Here is a 22,077-nt window from a genome sequence, read left to right on the forward strand (position 1 = left end):
CCCAACCTCTTCTGTCTGCCCTTCCACCCCCTCCAGCCTCTGGGGCCCTGGGGCAGCATATAGGCTGCAGGGGTTGGGGGCTGCCTCTGTTGTAGTGGCTGCAGCGCTGGTGGAACAGGAAGGTGTGTTGTTGGCTTCTCCTGGACCACACCCCCTGAAGGTGACACCCTCCTAACACGAGGAAGAGAGCTGCGCTTCTCAGTGCGTTCCAGATCTCAGGCTTCAGTGTCTCCAGCCTGGCCTTCTTGGCCACTCCACATGAGTCTGCCTCAGTGTGGAGGCTTCTTCCTGCACTTTCAGGGGGGTTTATTTCTGAAGGCGGAAGGCAGGCCTCGAACCCCAGGTGTTCTTGCTGGTGGAGGAAAGTGGAAAACACGCAGGCTTTGTGGGAAGAAAGGACGCCACTCCTCCTCCCGTGGATTGCCTGTGGAGCTGGGACAGGCAGCTTGCCACTCTTGTCAGGATGACTGTGGAAGGTGATGTCTAGAAGAGAGAGCAGGAGCACAGGCGCCCCTCTTCAGCTTGGTTTTGCACTAAAGGGACAGCAGAACCCAGAGGGCCTGGCTCTGTCAGCCCAGCCTCCAGTGCCTTCCGAAAGGAAAAACCACGCGTGGTACGTAGGCACACACGCACGCCGCACCACATGCTTTTTATTGAAGTATACGTGTGCTACAGACCATTTAAGTACAGAAAAGCTAAAAGAAGAAATTAAGTGGCACCCACAGTTTTACCTCCCAGACAGGACTGTTGCTTGGCCTGGTTCTCACTGAAAAGCTGCCAGCATAGAGCCCAGGAAGCCCCTCCTGGCAGCCAAGGGTGTGACCCTGCAGTCACGGCAGCCTGCCTGCTCTGGCCACTGATGTCCGCATTTTTTAGACCCTGGGGTCCTGACTGCATCTCAGGCCGCAGTGCCTTGGGCTCCAGTGGGGTGTCTCGGTGCTGGCATTGTAGAGTTTAAGCACCGCCCCAGAGCTGTGGTGGAGGCTCAGTGTGCTGCTGTAACAGAAATACTGGAGATGGGTGGCAAATAAACAACAAGTTTATTTTCATAGTTCTGGAGGCTGGAAGTCCAAGATTAAGGCGCTGGCAGATTATTCTGTATCTGGTGAGGACCCTCTTCCTGGTTCGTAGACAGCTGTCTTCTTACTATAATGTCACATAGTAGAGGGAGCAAAGGGATTTTCTGGGGTCTCCTTTCTAAGGGTACTAATCCCATAAGGAGGGCCCTACAGCCTCATGACATTATCACCTTCCAGAGGCCCCAATTCCTAAGACCATCCATCAAGCTGGGAGTTAGGGCTTCAGGGTATGGGTTTTCAGGAGGCACAAACATTCAGCCTATAGTGCCCAGCGTTCTTGCCTAACCACGGAAGGCAGATGGCGAGGTAGGGTGGGGTACTGTATCCTCTGCAGGCCTACTCCCCCAACTCATGGCAGCTTTTTTGCCCCTTAACTTTGTAGGGCCGAAGCCTGTGACTGTCATTCCATCTGGGGGAATCCCAGGACCCAGGGCAATGCTGCTGCTGCCCATTTAGGGAGGGGAGGCTGACACTGCTTTCCCCATGAGCCGCCACCTGTGCAGATTATGACATGTTTCCCCAGAGTGTGGGATGGACCAATGCCCGCTGGGCCACATGGGAGGCGGGTGCCCTGTCAGGCAGTAGTGGTACAGCAGCGCTGTCTTCGATGGAACAGCCACCATGCCGAGGACCTGGGGATCTGGAGGGCACTTGCCTCGTTCTGCACTGACCCTTAACATGAGTCTCTGGGACCCAGTCTGCTCCAGCTGGTGCCAGCCTGTGGTTAGTCAGCTTGCCTCTGATACTTCACTGCCCTGGCTGCATGAGTGCAAGGGCAGTGCTGTGTTCTTAGTGCCTAGCATGCAGTGGGGAGGAATTAGGCTGGTGTCTGCAGGAGAAGTCCTCCGGGCCCATGTGAGGCGAGTATGGGCCAAGCCTGTGCCCCTGTGCCTGTGACCCAGGCTGGGAGCAGGGGGCTTCAGGTCCTCAGGCTGCTTTAAGCCTGTTTCTCCTGGGCCTGGAGGGCTTCCTGGGGAGGGGGTTCACAGCTTCCAGGTCCCCTCCTGCCACTTTGAACTTGGGTGTGAATTAATGAAAAGCAGATGAGCTCAGATGTCCCTGGAATTCCACATGAAGTTGAATGGTATAAAGTAACCAGCCATGTGTTCTTGGCGGAACCAAAAGTACTCAGAGTGTTGCTGAAGCTGCCAAGTCCTCAGAGTAGCCTAGCCTTTGCCGAATTTGTGCTTCATGGGATGAATCCCATTTCATGAGATGATGTGCTTTTCTCCATTGAGTGAAGCCCTAGAGAAAATGGCCCCTAACCCTCGGCCATTCCAGACATGGAGAGTAGTACAGCATGCGGCCCCTGCTTTTAAGCCAATATGCCCATTACAGGGCAGGAAGCAGCCAGGGTCTGCCGCAGTTATGGTAGGATATTGGGCATCCTGGACCCACGGATCCTGGACAGAAGGATGAAGCTTTGGGATTGGGGAGGGAGGGGATGAGCCGAGCAGGCCCCCCAGCGTGCAGGGCACCTGGATGCCGACCACATTGGTCCGTTGTTCGGAACCTCGCCTTAGCTCTCTTCTGCCAGGGCCTAATGAGAACAATGGTCTCTCAGCTGAGCAGGTGGACACCTGTGAACTTCATCTCATTACAGATCTCAAAGGAGGGAGTCTATGTGGTTCTGGGCAAGGATGCTCCACTTTGCTTCCGTCTTCACCAAACTCTTAAAATATGAAGTGTAGGAAATTATGCCCCTGCAGGGTTCAGGATAAAGGAAATGACACCCAAGCCTTGGTTCTTTGTACCTGTTCCATCCACTGGGTATTTAGAGAAAGTAGCTTGGCGTGTAAGGTGGTCTCTGGCCCAACTTCACCCCCTTTTTTGGTGAAGTCTGGGACTTGCACAAGCACTGGCTCTTTGGCTCAGCTTTCAGACCTTGAAGGATCCGCAAGGAAGCTTTGGTCTGGGTACAGCCCTTGAGAAGGGCCTTAGAGGTGGCCATGCCAGTGGAGAAGGTGAGGCTAAGCAGGCTCTTGAGGTGCGCCCATGGCCAGGCCAGAATGCAGGCCTGGCACTCTTCGCCCAGGCGCCTTCTGGGCAGCAGCAGTTTTGAGTAAGTAAGGAGCCTAATGTTTAATGGCCTTTGTGTAAGAACATGATGATGACAGCGAGAGCAGGGAGGCTGGGAGGGAGTGTGTGGATGGACATCCGAGTAAGAGTTCCCCAGTGTCTCCAGGAACCACTTGCTTTGTAAAATGACCCAAATCCACCATCCCTGGACCTGGCGCAGATTCTGAGTTGGGCCAAGGCCTGGGAAACCTGAGTTGGAAAGTCTTTTCTCAGCCCGTATCATGGACTTGCTTTTGGTGCTCTGGGCTGGGGTCAGATTTGTAAGTGTGTTCCTGTTGTAAGAAGTTGCCTTGCCAAAAGATCATCATTTGAGTGCCTGGCATTTGTTTTTATTTCTATTTGTGAAAGTCAAGCATGTTAATTAAGGATGATTTGAGAAACAGGAAAGTATCAAGGAAAATTAATGAAGAGGAAAATCAATAACTTTAATCCCACCACTCACAAGTCACCACTGTTAAAACGTGGGATCATTCCATACAAGTCATTTTCTGTTCTACATTTTCCTGCTTTAACATCCTGTTAGGCTCATAACCCCAAGGCACTGACTGGTTTCTAACCTGGTCTGAGTGGTTGCCCCGTGTGCGCTTGTCTTGCACTGAGAGCTCCAGTGATTGGCTGTCCTGGGACAGCCGTCCACCTCATTATTTTCAGGGGGAGTTCCCAGGAGCCTGCAAAGGAATGTGCATTTTCAGGGCAGGTTGCTTCTTTTCAGAAAGGAAGGATGAGTGTGCTACCCGCAAGCAAGGCATGAGAGCGCCCAGGTATGCACCCTGGCAGGGAGAGTGGGCGGGTGGCTGTTGGATGTCTAAAAGGGTTTTGCACACCGGGCGCGGTGGCTCATGCCTATAATCCCAGCACTTTGGGAGGCTGAGGTGGGCAGATCTTGAGGTCAGGAGTTCAAGACTACTGGCCTGGCCAACATGGTGAAACACTGTCTCTACTAAAAATACAAAAATTAGCTGGGTGTGGTGGCGGACGCCTGTAATCCCAGCTACTGAGGAGGCTGAGGCAGAGAATTGCTTGAACCCAGGAGGTGGAGGTTGCAGTGAGCTGAGATCACGCCACTGCACTCCAGCCTGAGCAACAGAGTGAGACTCCGTGTCAAAAAAAAAAAAGGGAGGCGGGGGGAGTTTTGCAGTGAACAGAAGTCACTGTTTAAGTAGAGTTTACACACAACAACAAAAAAAGGGTTTTGCAGTGAACAAAAGTCACTGTTGGAGTTTACACAACAGAGGGGTCGCCACGCTGCCCCGTACCTGGGAGCTTCAGACTGTTCCGAATAGGCCTCCCCTGGACACTGAGATCTTGGAGGCTTTGTGATCCAGCCTTGGATGCCGGGTCCTGAGATCTTGCAGTCCAGGGAAAGGTGAGATTGTCTCACAGCAGAGGCTTGCCTGCTGCAGGCCACGCTCAGGGGTTTCTACCTCCCTCAGTCCCAGTGTCTGCCCTACAGGCTCCCTTGGTCCCGCTCAGAATGCACAGACCTGACCGTACCAGTGAGAAAGGACAGGCTGTGTGAGCTCTGCCTGGCCCAGGTGTGGGCTGGCCACGGGCTCCATGCCTGCCTTCTCCATGGGCCATGACGTCGGCCAGCAGCCTCAGCAGCTGCTGAGATTAGCGTCTGTATGTGGTGCCACTTGGTGTGCCTCTGGCTCCTGGCCCTGTGCTGGCCCCGTGGAAGGGCCTGTCAGCATGTACTCTCTCCTGGGGACAGGAGCAGTATCTTCAGGGCTGGGTCTACCAACCCGGTCTGTGCATTTCCAGCCTCCTGTGTGCTTCCCAGCTCTGAATTATGACCACTGGGCTGATTTATTTCTTCTGACATTTGCAAGCTGTTAGGTGGCAGAGATCAGTGAATAAAAACTTAATAAAAGGCTGTATTTAATCCCATGCATCCTAGGCTGAGCCAAGTTCCCTTAGGATTGAGCATCACCAGATAGAACCCAGAGCCCACTGGCATTGGGACCTCCAGGGTGGCTACTTGGAGTTTTTGTGGGGAGGGCAGTTTCTTGACCGTGGAGCATGACGAGGCTGGACCCACCTCCCCGTCTGTATGCAGCCACCATGCAGCCCACCTAGGCTGTGGGCTCTGTTGATGCCGCCTTGGAGTGTGCGGCTTGCTCTGGGTGGGCCTTCCAGGGGAGGAGGGACTGCAGAGGTAGTGACAGGGAAGGGACCCTGGGCCAGGGGGCTGGGCTCAAGGGTGGCTCCACATCTGACTTTGTGGCCTCATTTCCTGGTCTGTCACTTAGGGAGTTTTGCTGGGGCCTGTTAAAGGGGGAGTGCCTGGAGGTATCAAAGCAGGGGCTTGTGGCCCTGGTCATCCAGTAGTTACTGGGGGTGTTTACAGCCGCCTGTGCTGGGCCTCCCCTGGAGAGGAAGTCACGCCCACGTTAAGTGCGTGGGAAACCTGTCCCAGGCGTTCTGTAACCGTAGCTGCAGGTGCTCTGGGTGTTGCCTCCTGGCTGTAGAGGGCCCCCTTGTGAAGAGGGGAGCCCCAGGTTGGGGGGCCTGGGCTGGCAAAGTCCCTGCCATCTGGCCTGCCCACTTGGGGCTGGCTGTGTTGGGCCTGGTCCCACCAGGGCTTGGGCTGCTTCCAGATCTGTTTTCATTTTCAATTCCCTTTATTGCTATAAAACCACTTCGGGGCTGCAGAGAACAAGCTGTTGTCCTCAGCTGACCTCAGATTCCTGGCCTCAATTGTTTGCCTCTTGCTAATTTTAGCTTCTGATCATTTCCACTCTTATCCTCCCCCCAAAGGGAGACACAGACCAAGAATAGCTGCTGGGAAGGGGGGCTGTGGTGGCTGTGGCCAGAGTTCCAACAGTGAGCTGGCAGGGCTGTGGAGTGGCTCGCTGTGGCCAAGCCTGGGGCAGGGGGCTCTCGGCAGGCAACCCCCACACCCTTCCCCTCTCTCACCGAGGACTCTATACTGCAGGCATGGGCCTCAGAGGAGAAGAGGACTTCACTGTTCCTTCTTTTAAACAGAAACCAGGCTGCTTCTGGGGAAAAAGTACACCCCCACAGCCCTGCCTAGCTTGAAGACCCCTGAGAGTCCCTAACTCCCCTGAGCCCTTCAGACTCCAGGACCCAGGTTGTAGTGTGGGGTCAGACGTGGCACTTGACTACAGCCAGGCCCTGGATACAGCGTCAGTGTGGAGGCCTCAGGCCTATCCAATCCCTACCCAGCTTGGCCCCAGAGCCTGGCACAGCTCTGCCCTCCCAGTGAGTGTCAGGCTGCAGTTGACTGACAGCAATGTCCAGTCCAGGACATCAGCCCAGGCCTGCAGGATGGGACTTTGCCTGCCTGGGGCAGGGAGAGAAGCAGCTGACCAAACCCCAAACCGTGGTGTGCTGGTGAGCAGGCCTGGGGAGAGCCAGAGGAGGGATGGGCTGAAATCCAGCGAGGAGGAATGGCCTCCAGGCAGGGCCTAGGGTTGCAATCCTTGTCCATATATTAATAGTTTTGTAATTTTTGTTTTTGTTTTTGAGACAGAGTTACACTCCTGTTGCCCAGGCTGGAGTGCAATGGCGCGATCTCAGCTCACTGCAACCTCTGCCTCCCGCGTTCAAGCAATTCTCCTGCCTCAGCCTCTCAAGTAGCTGGGATTACAGGCACCCACCACCACACCCAGCTAATTTTTTGTATTTTTAGTAGAGATGGGGTTTCACCGAAATGTTGGCCGGGCTGGTCTTGAACTCTTGACTTCAAGTGATCTGCCCACCTTGGCCTCCCAAAGTGCTGGGATTACAGGCGTGAGCCACTGCACCTGGTCATATTAATAGTTTTTAAACTTCTGTTTGGAGAACTTCAGACAGATGCCCACATCTTCAGGACACCCACATTTTCAGCACCTGCTAGCCCCCTGCAGTCTTATCTCTGCCCCTCCCCCACCACCGTCCTCTCCAGTTGTTTTGAAGGAAATCCCAGATGCAATATCAATTTGTCCATAAATATTTCAGTGCCTTACATCTTCAAATGAAAGCCTGATACGTCTAATTTTCATACTGGGCTAACAGTAAGTGTGAAGCAAAAAATCCAAAGCCTGAAGTCACCCCACATGACTTGGTATTGGGAATTGTGTGGATCCAGCCCTAAAACCCCCGGGCTTGGGGTTGGAGCCACCATTTAAAGAAGTGTTGGAGCCCATCTCGCCATCCCTCAGCCTCGAGTTATAACTAGTCATAGGTAAAAAGAAGGCAACCAGGACACAGGTGTTTATGAGATCAAAAGCAACAACAACCGAAACAATCAACAGTGCTACTAAGGTAACACAGATAGGTGAGGAAGAGGCCAGGTGCTCAGTAAGTGTCTCCTGTGGACGGTCCCTCACCTCCCCTGAGCAGAAGGGCAGGGTGTCATCTCCACATGCCTTGGGGAGATGGCAGGGCCAGCACTCTCCAATGGCTTCTGAAGAGGAGCTACTAGGAGAAGAAAGTGATGCTCTAAGGAAAGGCTGGACTGCCGAGAGCAGTATACCCATCCCATTTTGTAAATTATGTTAAAAATTGTGTTAGAGTAGTGCATGTGGTAATACACATAGCTTAAGGATCCTGTCTTTCTGTACGTTCATTGTGATAAGCAGGTCACCCCCACCATCTGCCAGCTTCTTCAGCTACTGCCTTTGGTATTTACCTTTCCCAGCTCGATAACGTGCTCATAGGGGCTCTTCTTGATGGTAGAAGAGTGTTAGGCATTATCTCCTGACTTCCCATGATGGCACATGAGCGCCTGCAGGCACCCTTCTCCCACCCATGTGATAATTGGATATTTAGGATGGAGCCAGCATGCGGTATTTTGGGGGATCATGACAGTAAATGCTAGTTGCAGGTGACCCATACATTACACGTGTTTCTTTCCCTTAGACTCAATAGTTGCCATTTCTGCTTGGTTTTCCCAGTGCTGTTGTCCCCACACCCCCAGCCCCCCATTTGTCCCCACACACCCAGTGTGGCCTGCTCCGTGTGGCCTGGATAACATCTCTGTGGGGGTTGGCTGTCATCCTGGGACCCCTCCCCTACCATCCAGGCCCCACTTCCTGGAGCCCCTGCCATCTGCTTCTTGGCAGAGCTCCTGCTGCATAGCCTCCTGGAAGGGGTGCACTGGAGGCCATTTTTCCTTTCCTTCTGACTTTTATTTTAGGGTTGGGGGTACATGTGCAGGTTTGTTACATGGGTAAATTGCATGTCACGGGGTTTGATGTTCTTATTTCATCACCCAGGTGATAAACATAGTACCCGATAGGTAGTTTTTCAGTCTTTCACCCTCCTCCCTCCCCGCTCAAGTAGGACCTGGTGTCTGCTGTTCCCTCTTTTGTGTCCCTGTGTACTCAGTGTGTAGCTCCCACTTATAAGTGAGAACTGGCCGGGCGCGGTGGCTCACACCTATAATCCCAGCACTTTGGGAGGCCAAGGTGAATGGATCACCTGAGGTCAGGAGTTTCAGACCAGCCTGACCAACATGGTGAAACCCTGTCTCTACTAAAATACAAAATTAGCTGGGCGTGGTGGCGGGCGCCTGTAATCCCAGCTACTCAGGAGACTGAGGCAGGAGACTCGCTTGAACCCGGGAGACAGAGGTTTCAATGAGCCAAGATCGCGCCACTGCACTCCAGCCTGGGCGACAGAGCGAGACTCCGTCTCAAAAAATAAGTGAGAACATGCAGTGTTTGGTTTTCTGTTCCTGCGTTAATTCACTTAGGAGAATGGGAGGCCATTGTTTTAAGGCTTATATGTCTGGAAATGTCTTGATCCTGGTCTGAGGTTGATTCACGTTTCTCTGGGTTGAATCATAGGTGGGAATGGTTTACTCGTGCGGTTTGGAGCTCTGATGTTGCTGTGGAGAAGACTGAAGCTTTTCTGATTCTGGCTGTGTGCACCTCCCGGTCTCTTTGCCTCTCAGGGCCTTTTGGGCTTGTGCCTTTACCAGGGCTTGGAGGTGTGCACGTGTGTGGAGGTGCTTGGCCAAGCTCTGTCCTCTGCAGCGGGCCCGTCGGGTGGCATCTGGAAAACATTCTTGCCACTTTCTTCACGATCACCTCACCTCCTGTGTTCTCAGGGCTGCCTGCAGTTCCTTTTATTTGGAGCTGTTGGTCTGATCCTTACATTTTCATATTTTTTCCCTCTTACCCATCCATTTGTATTTTTGCTCTGTTTTCTGTGAAATTCTCTCAGTGTTCTCTCCCAACCCTGCTATTGGGATTTTTATTTCTGCCACATTTTTCCTTCTGTATCTTTACTTTCAGACTCAGGTTTCTAAGCCTTTGCTTTCAAACTCAGGTTTCTAAGCTTCCCTTTTAAAGGCACATGCGGTTCTTGTTTCCGCCAGGCCGTCTATGCGGTGAGGATGTTAGTGACAGCTCTGGAAGTCTTCTCGTTGCGTGGCCTCTGCTCCCTCCACATCACCTGTCTCTGCTCCTTGGTCTGGGTCTCTTGCCCACCCACGTCAGGCTCTTCTGCATTGTCTGCTGATCCTTGATGTCTGGTGACACGGCCCAGAGAGCCTCGAGCTGCGTGGGGGCTTCTGGGTGCCCATCAGGCTCAGCGACGGTGGCCTCCTGTGGGTGGTCTACTGGGCCATCTCCTTCCGGGTTTTCCCCCAAGAGGAGTGTTCTGCTCCTGCCTGGGGGAGGGAGGGTGGTCCTGCTGCACACTGGGAGAGAAGCTGGGAGGCAGCACTCTGTGAGTGGGCTGTTCCCCACACCCCTGTTCTGGAGGCTGCCCTACTCTGAGCTGGGTCTGGAGTCGTCAGTCCAGAGCTCCCTCCTGTGTAGACCCTCCCAGAAAGTCAGCCTCTGGTTCCTGGCAGGTGCAGGAAGGGCAAGCAGCCATCTGTAAGGTGAGGAAAGACCTTGTGTCCACAGCTGCTTTATCTGATGTTCAGGTGCCCCCCACCAACTGCACCCCCACCCCCGCCAGAGACTCCCGAGCCTTTGTGGGGAAACGTGGATTGCTTCCTTGCCTTCTCTGCTGTCTTTCTAATTTCTTGCTTCCAGATTATTTTTGTTACTCTCTTTCCCTTTTGCTTTGTCTGTTAAAATCCACTTTCTTTCATTGTAGTGGGATCTGGGGCTGGAAGGGTGGTGGGTGCCTGTGCCTGACCTGCCAGCTTTATCCAGAGTTCCTGTTAGGCCTTTGGTCCAGTGCAGGAGGCGTGGGGAGAGATGAGGGTAAGGTAAGCACTAGGTAGGGGGCGGCTGAGAGTTGTCCAGCTGTTGGGCAGCCAGCATCTCCTTTGTTCTTGCCCAACAATGTTATCCAGGAGTTTGCCAGAGATACATCCAGCAATATCCTGGAAGCAACTGAAGGCAGCTCACAAGAAGACAGTTGTGCAGTGGAAGGAGGGGGTCCAAACCTAAGGTTGGCAGGTTGACTATAGTACAGTTGCGATTGTCTGCATTCTTACAGTTTCTGTCAAAACATCGTTTTCCCAAGTGGCTGGTCAGCTCCCCTGTGGTTAACATGCTTGCAGCAATGGATGAGAGCTCCAGTTGCTCCACCAGCATTTAGTATTGTCAGTGTTTTGGATTTTAACCATTCTCATAAATATGTATAGTGATATCTCGTTGTAATTTGAATTTTCATAATAACAAATGACACTGAACACCTTTTCACACAGTTGTTTACCATCTCTCTATCTTCTTTGGTAAGAGTGTTCAGATCTTTTGTTCATTTTTTAAATTGGCATTTGCTTATTGTTGAGATTGAGTTCTTTATGTATTTTAGATACAAATTGCCTTTACTTTTGATCAGCCTCAAATGAAGAGCATTTTTATCAGCTAAATAAACCTGGCTCTGTAATTGTGGATTCCAACCTCATATTCCTGTCTTGCCTTGTGTTTCAGAAAATATCTGAAGAGGTGCATAGGAATGTCACCCCTGGGCTATCACCAGCCATCAGGGCTGTGTTGGTACGCAAGCAGTCACATTGCCTCCCGATGCCCAGAACAAGGATGTTAACCGCACACTGGCTCCTGAAGCCAGGGAACATTCCCTTCAAGATGGCAGAGGAAAGGCGGGGGCAGTGGGGTCAGCTGGACATGCGTCACCCTACCGTGCTCAGGGAAGATGCTTCTGGCTTCCCCTGGGAGGCAGCTAGTGATGAGGGTCTCACAATGGAAAGGAAATGGAAATGTCTGTTCTTTGGGTTCAGCTCTCATGAGTCCACAGGTAGCACCGTTCATCTGGAGAAGGCCTTCACTTGCACAATCCATGATCTGGAAGCTTCTGTGGCAAGGGGCCGATATACGTCTCCCTACTTATCCATTGAGGAGCAATAAGGGTTGTGACTCGGGTGTGCGTGAAGGAGAGAAGCTCCAGAGCCCTTGTCTCAGGTGGCTTCTGGCCTTCTGTTGGCAGAAACCATTGGTATTCTATTATTTCTGTTTTTAAAAGGGACCTTGAGAACGGAAATTTTCAAGTGTGTTTTGTAACCCTTAGCAAAAGGAGAGCAAACACCTTTATGAAATTCTGGCATGTGGTCCTTTTAACCTTTCCAGGCAGTGTACTGGTTCATGCAAACTAGTGCTATTCCCTTCTTAGGGATTGGGGTGCTGGGTTCTGTGGAAGCAGTCCCAGTGGTGAGCTGGAGCTTGGGTGAAAGGTACGTGTGTGTACATACACCACTTTGTTACATAGTGTTATTGCATTAATTCTGACTGTCCAAAGTGATTCATTTGATGAAGGCAGAAATGCAGAAAGGACAGTCACACACAAATCCCATCTTCCTGAGGTAACCTCTGTTTCCTTCCTGCAATTAGAGCTCTGGCATATGCATTTCATGTGTGCATTTGAGGGTGGGGCTCAGCCACTTGGTAGTCTGTTTTCTTCCCTGTCCACGTTCCCAGGGGCTGTTTATCAGCAGCTCACATTGGTGGTTCAGAAGAACATTCGAGAGAGACAGCTGGGCTGGCTCCGTGTGCTTACTCTCCCTCGTCTACCCCATCCAACAGATTGTGAAGCCTGGTTCCAGTAACCTTGGGGATGACACCAAGGAGCGCTGAGCCCTCCACCCCGCATGTTGTGGTCTTGGGGGAGGGAGGCAGGTAGGACACAGAACAGGGTTCCTGCCCCAGTGGCTCCTCCCAGCTCTTGCTAGCCCTCCCTTGGCATCAGGCAGACCTAGGTAGCCTCAGGTCTTGGAGTCCCGTACAGAGCTGTTGCAGAGGGGGTCACTCCAACCTTGAAGCTTCTGGGGGCCTGGCCGTGGGATAGTGCAGAGTGTGGCACTGCTTTTCTTCCCGGCTGGTGTCCCTGGGGTCAGCTGCCTTAAGGTTAGGGCCCTGTTCTAGGTTAGGACAGGGAAGGGCTTAGGAAACAGGGCCAGCAGGATACAGGGAGGAAGGTGTGGGCACGGACATGCAGCGGGCAGGCCTGTGCCGGGAAGAGGGTGGGCTTTGTCTCCTGAGAAGAGGTGGCCCCCCAGAGCACTGGTCTCCCCACATGGCAGGCAGTGGGGCTCTGTTTCAGGCCCTCTCCAACGCACTTAGGCTGCGACAAGCCTGAGCAGGATGTAGGGGGCTACTAGACCTGCGGGCAGGGCTGAGGGACAGGGCCCGGGGCTGCCAGGTCACCTGTTCTCTGCAAGAGGGTTTTTGAACACAAGGGCTTTCCCAAAGGGTAGGGGTAACTTGCTCCTAGTGGGCAAGACCGAGAGCCCCTGGTGGCTCCATGGGCCTGGGCTGCTGCAGGAGAGGTCTGGGGGCTTTCTAGCTCCTCCCTGGGGGTCTGGAGGTTCCTAGCAGAAGCCCCGGCACTGTTCACCTGTTTCAGAAAAAACAGACCGTTGTCTAATTTGTTGTTGTTGTTGTTTTGTCTCGGCTCCCTCAAAAACCAAAGGCGTTTTTTAGGCCCGTCGTCCAAATTACAAGCTCATTTTAATTCGGATGTATTTACTTTGTGAAACCAACCCTGAAGAATACATTGTTTCGTTATATTCTGCTGGAAACCTTGCCACATTTTTCCTGAGAAAACTGAGCCTGCTGTGCACCTGGAGCCGGCCAGGTGGCAGGTGCTGGGCCTGGAAGAGGAGCCTGCCGAGGCTCCTCCAGGGCTTCTGAGTGCCATTGTTTTGAGTGCGCTGCCTGGTAGCGCTGGGCCCTTCCAGGGAACTGCCTGGCTCCTTCCTCAGCTGCAGCCTCCTGCTGCAGGGGAGCTGGGGACCGTGGAGGTCCCCCACAGGTCCTCAGGCCCACATGCCCCCAGCCTGGGCAAGCCTGCCGTGAAATAGGCCTCGTAGAGCCTGGCTGTGGGGGCAGCAGGGGCCCCTGGGTGCAGAGGGTAGCCTCGCCGCACTGTGGGTGGGTGCCCCTGCTTGCTCCTCCTGGAACGTGAACGTGGGCAGCAGTGTTCCTGTTCCATGCTGGGGAGGGGCTGTGAGAATGTCTTTCTTCCCGGTGTAGCCTAGCCTCAGGCCCACCCTTCTGGGTGTGTTACCTTGGTGAGGTCACTTGGTTTCTCACCTCTGACAAGGGTTTCACATCAACACTTTCCTGTCTTCCGGGTTGGTAGAGTCAGATGAGCCCAGTGCAGGCCAAAAGTAAAAGCTGCACCCCTGTAAAGAGTGTACATGCAGCTGTTTGTGCCATTGAGTGTCTGTAGCAGAGCTTAGCAGGGTGGGGTCCCTGCAGGCAAGGTCCCCCCCAGGAGACACAGAAGGAGAGGGCAGGGGGAGGAAATGAAGGCTGGGGGAGGGGAGACACAGGAAGAGGAAGTGGGCCACGATGGTTGCCAAAGGCTCTGCAGACAGGGGCCCCTCCCTCAGTTGCCTAGAGAGCCGGCTGGGAGCACGGGCACCTGGGGTGCAGAGCTGGGGCTGGCTGTGCAGGTGCTTGTTCGTGTCAAGAAGCAGTTGGACTTCTCTGTGAGATTCTGCAGATCTCCCCTGTGACTGTCAAGGCTGGTGCCCCCCACCCCCCACCCCAGACGTCACAGCCAGAGGCAGGCCCAAGAGGCCTTTCCATACTGTGTCCCTTTCCCTACCCACCACGTGCTCTGCCCTCTTTCTTCCCTCCCTCCCTCCTTCCTTTTCTCTTGGTGCAAGAGAAAACCCTTTCCCAGTAGTCCACAGATTCCCTGGTTCCTACTCCTCATGAGCCCCTACAGTGGCACTTGGGATCTGCATCCTAGTGGCTGGATGGACTTGGCTCTCCTAGCTGCCATCCACCTGGGCTAATTTTCAGCCCACAGTGGTGTCACAAAGTGGTCTTATGGCAGGAGTGTGGTATTCAGGAGCCTGAAGGGGGCTTCTGACGTGGAATTACAACTCTGGAACTGCTTCTGTTTAAATCCTTTGCTGAATATTTGTCACCCATAGCCTTTTAGGTCTGACCCGTTCTAAACTGCTGGGCCTATCAAACAATTTATCAGGGAGGGCCCTTCTCCAATAGGACAGTTTGCAGCGTGACCCAGGGGCTCTAAAGCCCTGGAGCCCTGCCCTGGGAACATCTCCTACAAAGCTAGATTGGACTTTATTGCTATTTTTGAGTTTCTCATCCTGGAAGCCACTGCCCAGCACATTCTGAGGAGAATCTGCCTGGGCGACCATTGTTATTTTAAGAGAGCTCTTGGGGTAATATGAGGAACTGTGCTTTGAAATAGGGAATACAGAATGGGGCCAGTAATGTGCCCAGAGTGTTGAATGTCTGATTTTTAAATTGGCATTATTGATGGCTAGCATTTTCTAGTTTGCTATGGATTTTTTGTTTTGAATTTAACTTTTTGAATAGGAAATGCATTTGTGTGTTTTAGAATCTAAAAGATTTAAGTAGTTTCCCCAGGGAAAATTCTGTCAACCTTCCCTGTTCTCCATCTGCTCAGTGTTCCCCTGGGTGATCTCTGTTCCTACTTTCCTAGGGACCCTCTCTCTGCACATACAGGCCAAGGCGCACGTAGATCCTTGCTGGTCATCTCTCCTCAACCTTGTTTTCCTCACTCAGCTTGGAGATCTTTCCATATCAGTTTGTAAAGAACTCATTCTACTTCTTTGCGATAGTGTTCTGTTATATGTGCGTTCCATAATTTATTTGACAGGCCCCAGTGGAAGGACATGAGTTGTTTTCAGGTTCCTGCTGCATTGACTAATCAGGAGCATATCCCGTTTTGTAGGTGTGCAAATGCGTTTGTAGGCTAGGATGTCAAAAGTTCAGATGTGGGTAAAAGGGTGTGCACATTTCTAATTTTAATAGGTATTGCCAAATCGCCCTCCATGGAGGTTGTAGCAGTTTGTACTCCCATCAGCAAAGAATGCCTGCTTACCTGCAGCCTCACCAAGGTGATAAGCTACCAAGCTGCATTTCAGTGTGTCTCATCTGCCATTAGCTCCTGATGGATGAGGTGGAGCATCTTTTCATGCATTTGAGAGCCATTTGTAGTTCCTTTTTTATGAATGGGCTTTGCCCATTTTTCTGTTGGATATTTTTCTTTTTAAAATTCCTGTGAGCTCTTTCTGTATTGGAGATTAGCCGTTTGTGATAGGAGCTGCAAATATTTTTTCTCTCAGTTTTGTCAGTTATCTCTTGCCTTTGTTTATGGTGACTTTGTTCATGGAGAAGTATAGTATACTGTTTTGTGCAGTCAAATAGATTGATTGATTGATTGAGACTGAGTCTCACTCTGTCACCCAGGCTGGAGTTCAGTGGTGTGATCTCAGCTCACTGCAACCTCTGCCTCCCACGCTCAAGTGATTCTCCTGTCTCAGCCTCCTGAGTAGCTGGGATTACAGGCGCTCGCCACCACGCCCGGCTGATTTTGTATTTTTAGTAGAGACGGGGTTTCACCATGTTGGCCAGGTTGGTCTTGAACTCCTGACCTCAGGTGATCCTCCTGCCTCAGCCTCCCAAAGTGCTGGGATTACAGGCATGAGCCACCATGCCCAGCCTTTAGTCTTTTCTTTTATGGTTTGTGGACTTTGATTCATAGAAGGAACTTCTGTCTTACAGTTTTCTCCTAGAATGTTTGTGGTTTTATTTTTCACATTAGAATCTTTGACCCATTTAGAATTTATCCTGGTGTAGGGTGGGAAGTATGAACCCAGCCTTTCCAGATGCTACCGAAGTGTCCTCATAACATGTATTGACTGCTCCCTGCCCTAGGGGTTCGAGATGTCACTCTGTCCTTTGCACAGTTACCACTACCTTTCGTTCTAATTCTGCCATTTCTGCTGGGCTTCACTGGCCAGTGATCAGCTTACGAAACTGTGTTGAATCCTGGTGGTCTCGTTTCCCCCACGTCATTGTTTTGCAGGATTTTTTTCTGGCTATTACTGTGTGTTTTTCTGTATGAATTTTTAGGATCAAGTTATCCTATTCGAAAACAAAGCAAAGCAACAAGAAAAATGCCTACTTTAAAAAATATCTTCGCAAGCATTGTAGAAATGTGGAGCCACACATTTGCCCAAGGAGGATTCTCTCACTGAAGCAGTGTTGCCTCCGACACTGTGGCAGTCTCCAGCCAGGCTTCAGCACCCTGCCAGCTCTTGCATGTGAAGAGTGGATAGTAGTGTGTGATCAGCGGCACTAGACCAGAGCGCCTGGGACAGGGCACACCTGCCCCCCATGTCTCTTTCACTACTGGGCGGCTCACAAACATGCTTCCCGGGGCCCCTTGGCCCATAGGTGATAACATTGTTATCTCCTCCAAGCACCACTGTGCAGCAGGCATGTGCCCCACGTATTCTCCCACTTAACCCTCACAGTGACTGAGAAACAGGCTGGATGACAATCCCTGAGGCATCAACAAAGGAGTGGAGGTAGAGCAGGCTGCTTCCTTGCCCCAGGCAGGTTCCAGCTGCGGCTCTAGCTCTGGCGCCAGCCAGCTGAATGACAGCTCACTCTCTCCTCCTGGGCCTCACTTCCCTTACCTGCTCAGTGGGTGGGTAAGAGCTTCCAACCTGGACTTCCTGCGAAGCCATGTGCATGTCAGCTCCATGTGGCTTAATAAACCACTAACATTTCTAGAGACGAGCAGGACAGTCAAATGGCCTCCTAAGGAGTTAGGAAGTCCACCCCCCACCACAGAGGCCAGGCCTTTCTGCTACCCCTGAGGCTGTATGCCTGAGTTTCATTGGAGGCCAGCAGTTGATCAGCCCCTGTGTTTGGCCATGCTGACCTGCTCCAGAACAGGAGGGTGAACAGTCTTCCTGGAGTGAAAAACATTGCAGTCTTGAGGTTGGGAGCTAGAAGTGGCCCCAAACCAGTGCCCACAGGGCAGAGCTGTCCATCAGTGAATGACAGCCCACTCACTGGTGGGGAATACCTGGAGACTGGGGACAGTGGCCTGGGAGCCTGAGGGCAAGCAATTTCTCTTTGGAAGCCTCTCCCTGTGCCTCCCTTTGAGTCTGACCAGCGCTGCCCCTGCCATTGCCTCCAGATACACACCCACATGGACCCTTGCGCTCCAGAGGTCTGTTGTATCCAAGACATCCCTGTGAGGGTGATGGCTCATTTGCCTTTCCAGGACCTCCCGGTAGGAGTTGCATTTCTTCCCTTCTCCCTTCCATGAAGGGGAGCTCAGCGAGGCTTCCTAGAGAAGACCCAGCAGGAGGCCGGCAGAAGAGGCCCTTGCGGCAGACGCTGCTCTGGCCCCAGCTTGGTACCGGGCATTGGAAACATTGCAAAAATGACCACTCAACAGGCTTCCCACAGGAGGTTCGCAGACAGAAAGATCTGCAGTGTGGTTTATACAGGTGCAGCTGGAGCCGGGTGGGGTGGGGGGGCCCACTCACCTGTGGGGGGTTGGGGGGGAGTTTGGCTAAGGCTGGATTGCAGGAGATAACTTGGAGCGTGCCCTTTGCGCAGGAGGGCAGAGCAGAGTGGAGTCCATGCCACAGCCCGAGTCTGAGCTCAGGCTTTGAGCTGGAGCACGCACACTCCTGAGCTGGCTGCATTTGCATGTGGCTGCTGTGGGGGAGAGGGGAGGGCCTGGGACTTGGGTGTTGAGGCGGATTGGGGGCTCAGCTGAAGGAGAGAGAGCCCCTGCGCCCCCCTTCCGGCTGGCTCTCTGAGAGAACACGTTGTCCCCGCCTGGGCCTGCGGCTTGGGCAAGAGCAGCATGTGGGACGCTGTGTTCCTGATAAGATGAGGCAATTGCTCTCACTCGGGGCGCTGCTCCGCTCGCGGCCTCGCTGTGGCGCCAGGGAACATTTATGTAACGCGCAGCCCTGAGCAGCTGCCCCGCCCAACCATACTCCAATCCCCACCCACCCCACTCTCCCCGCAACTGCATGCGGTCCCCTACCCTGCATCACCCGGCCATGCAGCCTGGTACCCGAAGAGTCCCCCCTCTGCTTGGCACCTGTAGGACCCCCAAACCCCAGCATGGCTTAGCCCCTCTCCCAGCTCCCCACAGTTCCCCCAACCCTCCTACAGCCTCCCTTCAGGGCTCCAGGGCACCTAGTGCCCCTCCAGGCTTGACCCCAGCCCCCTTCCTCTCACCAAGTCTTCTCACAAGGCCTAACCCCGCCTTGTCCCACGGCCCCCACCCCATGCACAGGCACAGGCACACATAGCCAGAACCCCTGGGGCCCTCCCACCTGGGGAGCTGGAGTGACTCTGAGATCCGGCAGGAAGGCTAGGAGCTCCTCTGCAGGAGTCTGGAATCTCCTACTGGTTCTCTTGTCATTTTGGAGCTAGAGGGAGCTCCTGTCCTGGTGAGTCCCTGTCTTGCTGTTGCTGTCTGTGTACCCCATGCCCGGGTGGAGGCAGATGCAGGGTTTGAGCCCAGCAAGGAGGGTGCTTGGATTTGTTTAGGCCATTGGGCTCCCTTTGCCTTAGAATGGGAGGCGGGCTCACTCCCTGAAGGGCCGGGCCTGGCTGGCCCCTCACCTCACTGTGTGCCCCCCTGTGCTCACTGTACTCGGCTGCACGCAGCCCCGCCTGGAGTCTGTCCCCATAACAGCAGTTTTTAGAGTGAAGCTTGAGGACACTCGCAGGTGCCTCAGACCCTTCAGAGGGGCCATGAGATCAAAACTGTTTTCATAACAATAGCACTGTTTGCCTCATTCTCCCAAAAGAGTACAGTAGGCTATTGCAGATGCTACAGGATGTGTGACAGCACCACGACGACTGGAATGCGTGCTTGGGTTGAAGACCTTTTTTCCATTTTAATTTGTAATTTCTAATACGATGAAAGCAGTGGCTCCCGCCCACATACAGGAAAGCTCCTGGGGCTCCCTGCGGATCATGTGGGTGAAAGTGGCCTGGGGCATGTTGCTCCCTGTTCCCGCCTCCACCCGTTCTCCCTTCTCTGGGCTGCTCCTTGTCAGCCTCCTGGGTGCTGCCTGAGTGTCACTACCAGGGGACCCAGCCAGACCCAGTGTTGCTCCTTGCTAGCCTGAGCCATAACTCCTGTTGTGGGCCAGTTCATTGGCCGTCACCTCTCTGCAGCAGGCTGAGGGAGGAGCAGAGAATGGAGCCGTGGGGGCCGCGTCTGCCTGGGTCAGGACCATGTCTCTGGGCCAGGCACCCAGTATGTGCCCTGTCAAAGCATAAAGCTCCTGATATATAGGGAGGCCAAGAGCTGTGCTGGTGGAGTGGCTGCACCCAACACCCACCTTCCTCCACTCCAGGCTGCCTGGCACCAACGTCCCATCCATTGGATGCTGCATTTCTCTGCGGCCCCAACACCATGTGGTCCACCTGTAGCTCTGTGTACCTCACATGCTTCCCCAGCCTGCAGGCAGAAGAAGCTAAAGGACAAGGCTCCTCACAAGGGCTATTAGGAAGCAAGGCTGAGTCTGAATTTGGGTTGGCTTCCCCCCACACCAACAGGCCCAAATCAGAGGAGACCCAGTTGACAGGGCTAATGACTAAGAGCAACAATAACAGCTGAGATTTCAGGAGTGGACCTTTGGAACGTGCCAGGCGCTGTGCTGAGGCCGGTCGTGCGCAGCCCCATGGGATCACTGTATGGACCCCCCGCATGAGGACGGGGCAGTGTGCTCACTTCCTGTGGCTGCTGTCACACATTACCGCAAACTGGGTGGCTGAAAAGCAACCGAAACTTACTCTCTCACAGTTCCAGAAATCAAGGTGTTGGCAGGGTTAATTCCTTCCAGAGGCTCTGAGGGAGAATCCACTCCATACCTCCCCTTCCTTCCCCTGCCCCCTTTCTCCCCCTTCTCACTTGCTGCCTTCCCCGTCTCCCTCACTCCCCTCCCCTCTTCTCCATGCTCCACACTTGGGAGCTCATCTCCAGATCCTGACCTGATTACATCTGCAAAGACCCTTTTTCCAGATAAGATCACATGCACAGGTTCTGGAGGGTTATCACTTGGCTATATCTTTTGGGGGACCATTATCTGCCCTACTGCTGGCAGCACGGAGCTTTTTCGAGGCCATAGCGTCACAACTCAGGGCAAACAGGGTCTGAACCTCATCTGTCAGACCTGACATGGTTAATGCTAAACCATTTAATGCTGGACTTTCCCAAGCTTTTAATGACTAGTGTGCGTTGTGAATCTCCAAGAGTGGAATTATCATGCAACATTTTCACTCTTTAGTTGACAAAATTTTTTTTCTGGAAACGATAAACAGTTTTATACAATGATAACATTTCTTTGAACATGTTTTGGGAAATATTGGACTAGATATTTAAGGAACTATATTTAAACACTTCTTCTTCTTGTTATGGAAGAAACAAATACATAGGATTTTTTTAAAAGGCCCAAGCCAGGCGTGTGGCTCATACCTGTAATCCCAGCACTTTGGGAGGCTGAGGAAGACAGATCACTTGAGGTCAGGAGTTCAAGACCAGCCTAGCCAACATGGTGAAACTCTGTCTCTACTAAAAATATAAAAACTAGCCGAGCGTGGGTAGGCGCCTGTAATCCCAGCTAGTCGAGAGGCTGAGGCAGAAGAATCACTTGAACCTGGGAGGTGGAGGCTGCAGTGACAGAGCAAGACTCTATCTCAGATTAGATAGATAGATAGATAGATAGATAGGTAGATAGATAGATACCCATAACACAGAGGAGCTTGCAACAAAAAAAATCCTCTCACCAGTCCAGCCCCACTCCCTAGACAGCAACACTTCTTTTCTGATTTTAGTTGTCTTGATGGTTACTGCCATAAATGAACTGTATTTTACTGCTGTTTCTTGATTTATCAAATTTAGATATTTTCTGTTATCCTCCTGCCATGAAATTTAAGGATTTACCTGACTCCTATCCCTCCCCTCCAACTCTTCCTAAATTGATGGATGTATTATTTTACTTATTTTGTTGACTATCTTTGTAATTTTAAATCTCTGTGTTTCATTTAGATACGTTCTTTGCACACTGTGTGCATTCCAACTTTTCCCTTAAATCCATGTTCTCTGCTGGGCCCACAGGTCAGTTGTATGGCCTTTGTTTATAGGATTGGTTCTGAAACATTGACAACTAGTGCTAAGGTTAGCATGACCACAACTGTGTAAAGTTTGCTTCCATCAGCAGGGCCTGTGCTGGGATTACATTTCCTGCCACCACCTCATGGAGTTGTTGTGAAGAATAAATAATAGAGCATAGGAAAAACCCCTAGAACCGAGCTTGGCTCGGAGCTCTTGACCCATAATCATGAGGCATTTTCGTTTACATCTAATTTGAACCACAATTTTTTTGTATGTCTTTTATTTTTCCTGGAGTTTCTAATTGCCTCTTTTTTCTTTTAAACAAAGAAGAGTGGTGTGTCTTTACTGGGTCCTGAAGTTTACCCAGCCTTTTGATGGTACTCTCTGGTGCACAAAACTCACTTTCCTCCTGGAATTTTCCCCCGTGAGTCTTGGTCCTGTGCTCCAGTGACCTCCCGGGGTCTCTGCCTCACTCTTGTCATGCAATGGCCCTTTACTATTCAGTCATGTCTCTAGCTCCTTGGTTTTATCTCATTTTAGCTGGAGTGTGTGAGACATTAACTTGGAAGGCCCTGTTCCTTTGTCTTCAGGATCC

General features: G+C 52.4%; 1 protein-coding gene across 2 annotated transcripts in view, besides 1 other annotated feature; it reads left to right on the forward strand.

The window, feature by feature from the left end:
* The window catches only part of KLF13 (KLF transcription factor 13), a 108,831-nt gene that overhangs the window by 20,916 nt on the left and 65,838 nt on the right, over positions 1-22,077 (forward strand). The window lies entirely within an intron of this gene.
* Positions 9,734-10,233: an enhancer, noted in NCBI's record as "H3K4me1 hESC enhancer chr15:31649687-31650186 (GRCh37/hg19 assembly coordinates)". NCBI's record gives its function as "activates a minimal SCP1, AML or CMV promoter by ChIP-STARR-seq in primed H9 embryonic stem cells {active_cell/tissue: H9 hESC(primed)}" and the evidence as "EXISTENCE:reporter gene assay evidence [ECO:0000049][PMID:30033119]".

The sequence above is a fragment of the Homo sapiens genome, chromosome 15 (genome assembly GCF_000001405.40).
Source record: "Homo sapiens chromosome 15, GRCh38.p14 Primary Assembly".
Classification (NCBI taxonomy): Eukaryota; Metazoa; Chordata; class Mammalia; order Primates; family Hominidae; genus Homo; species Homo sapiens.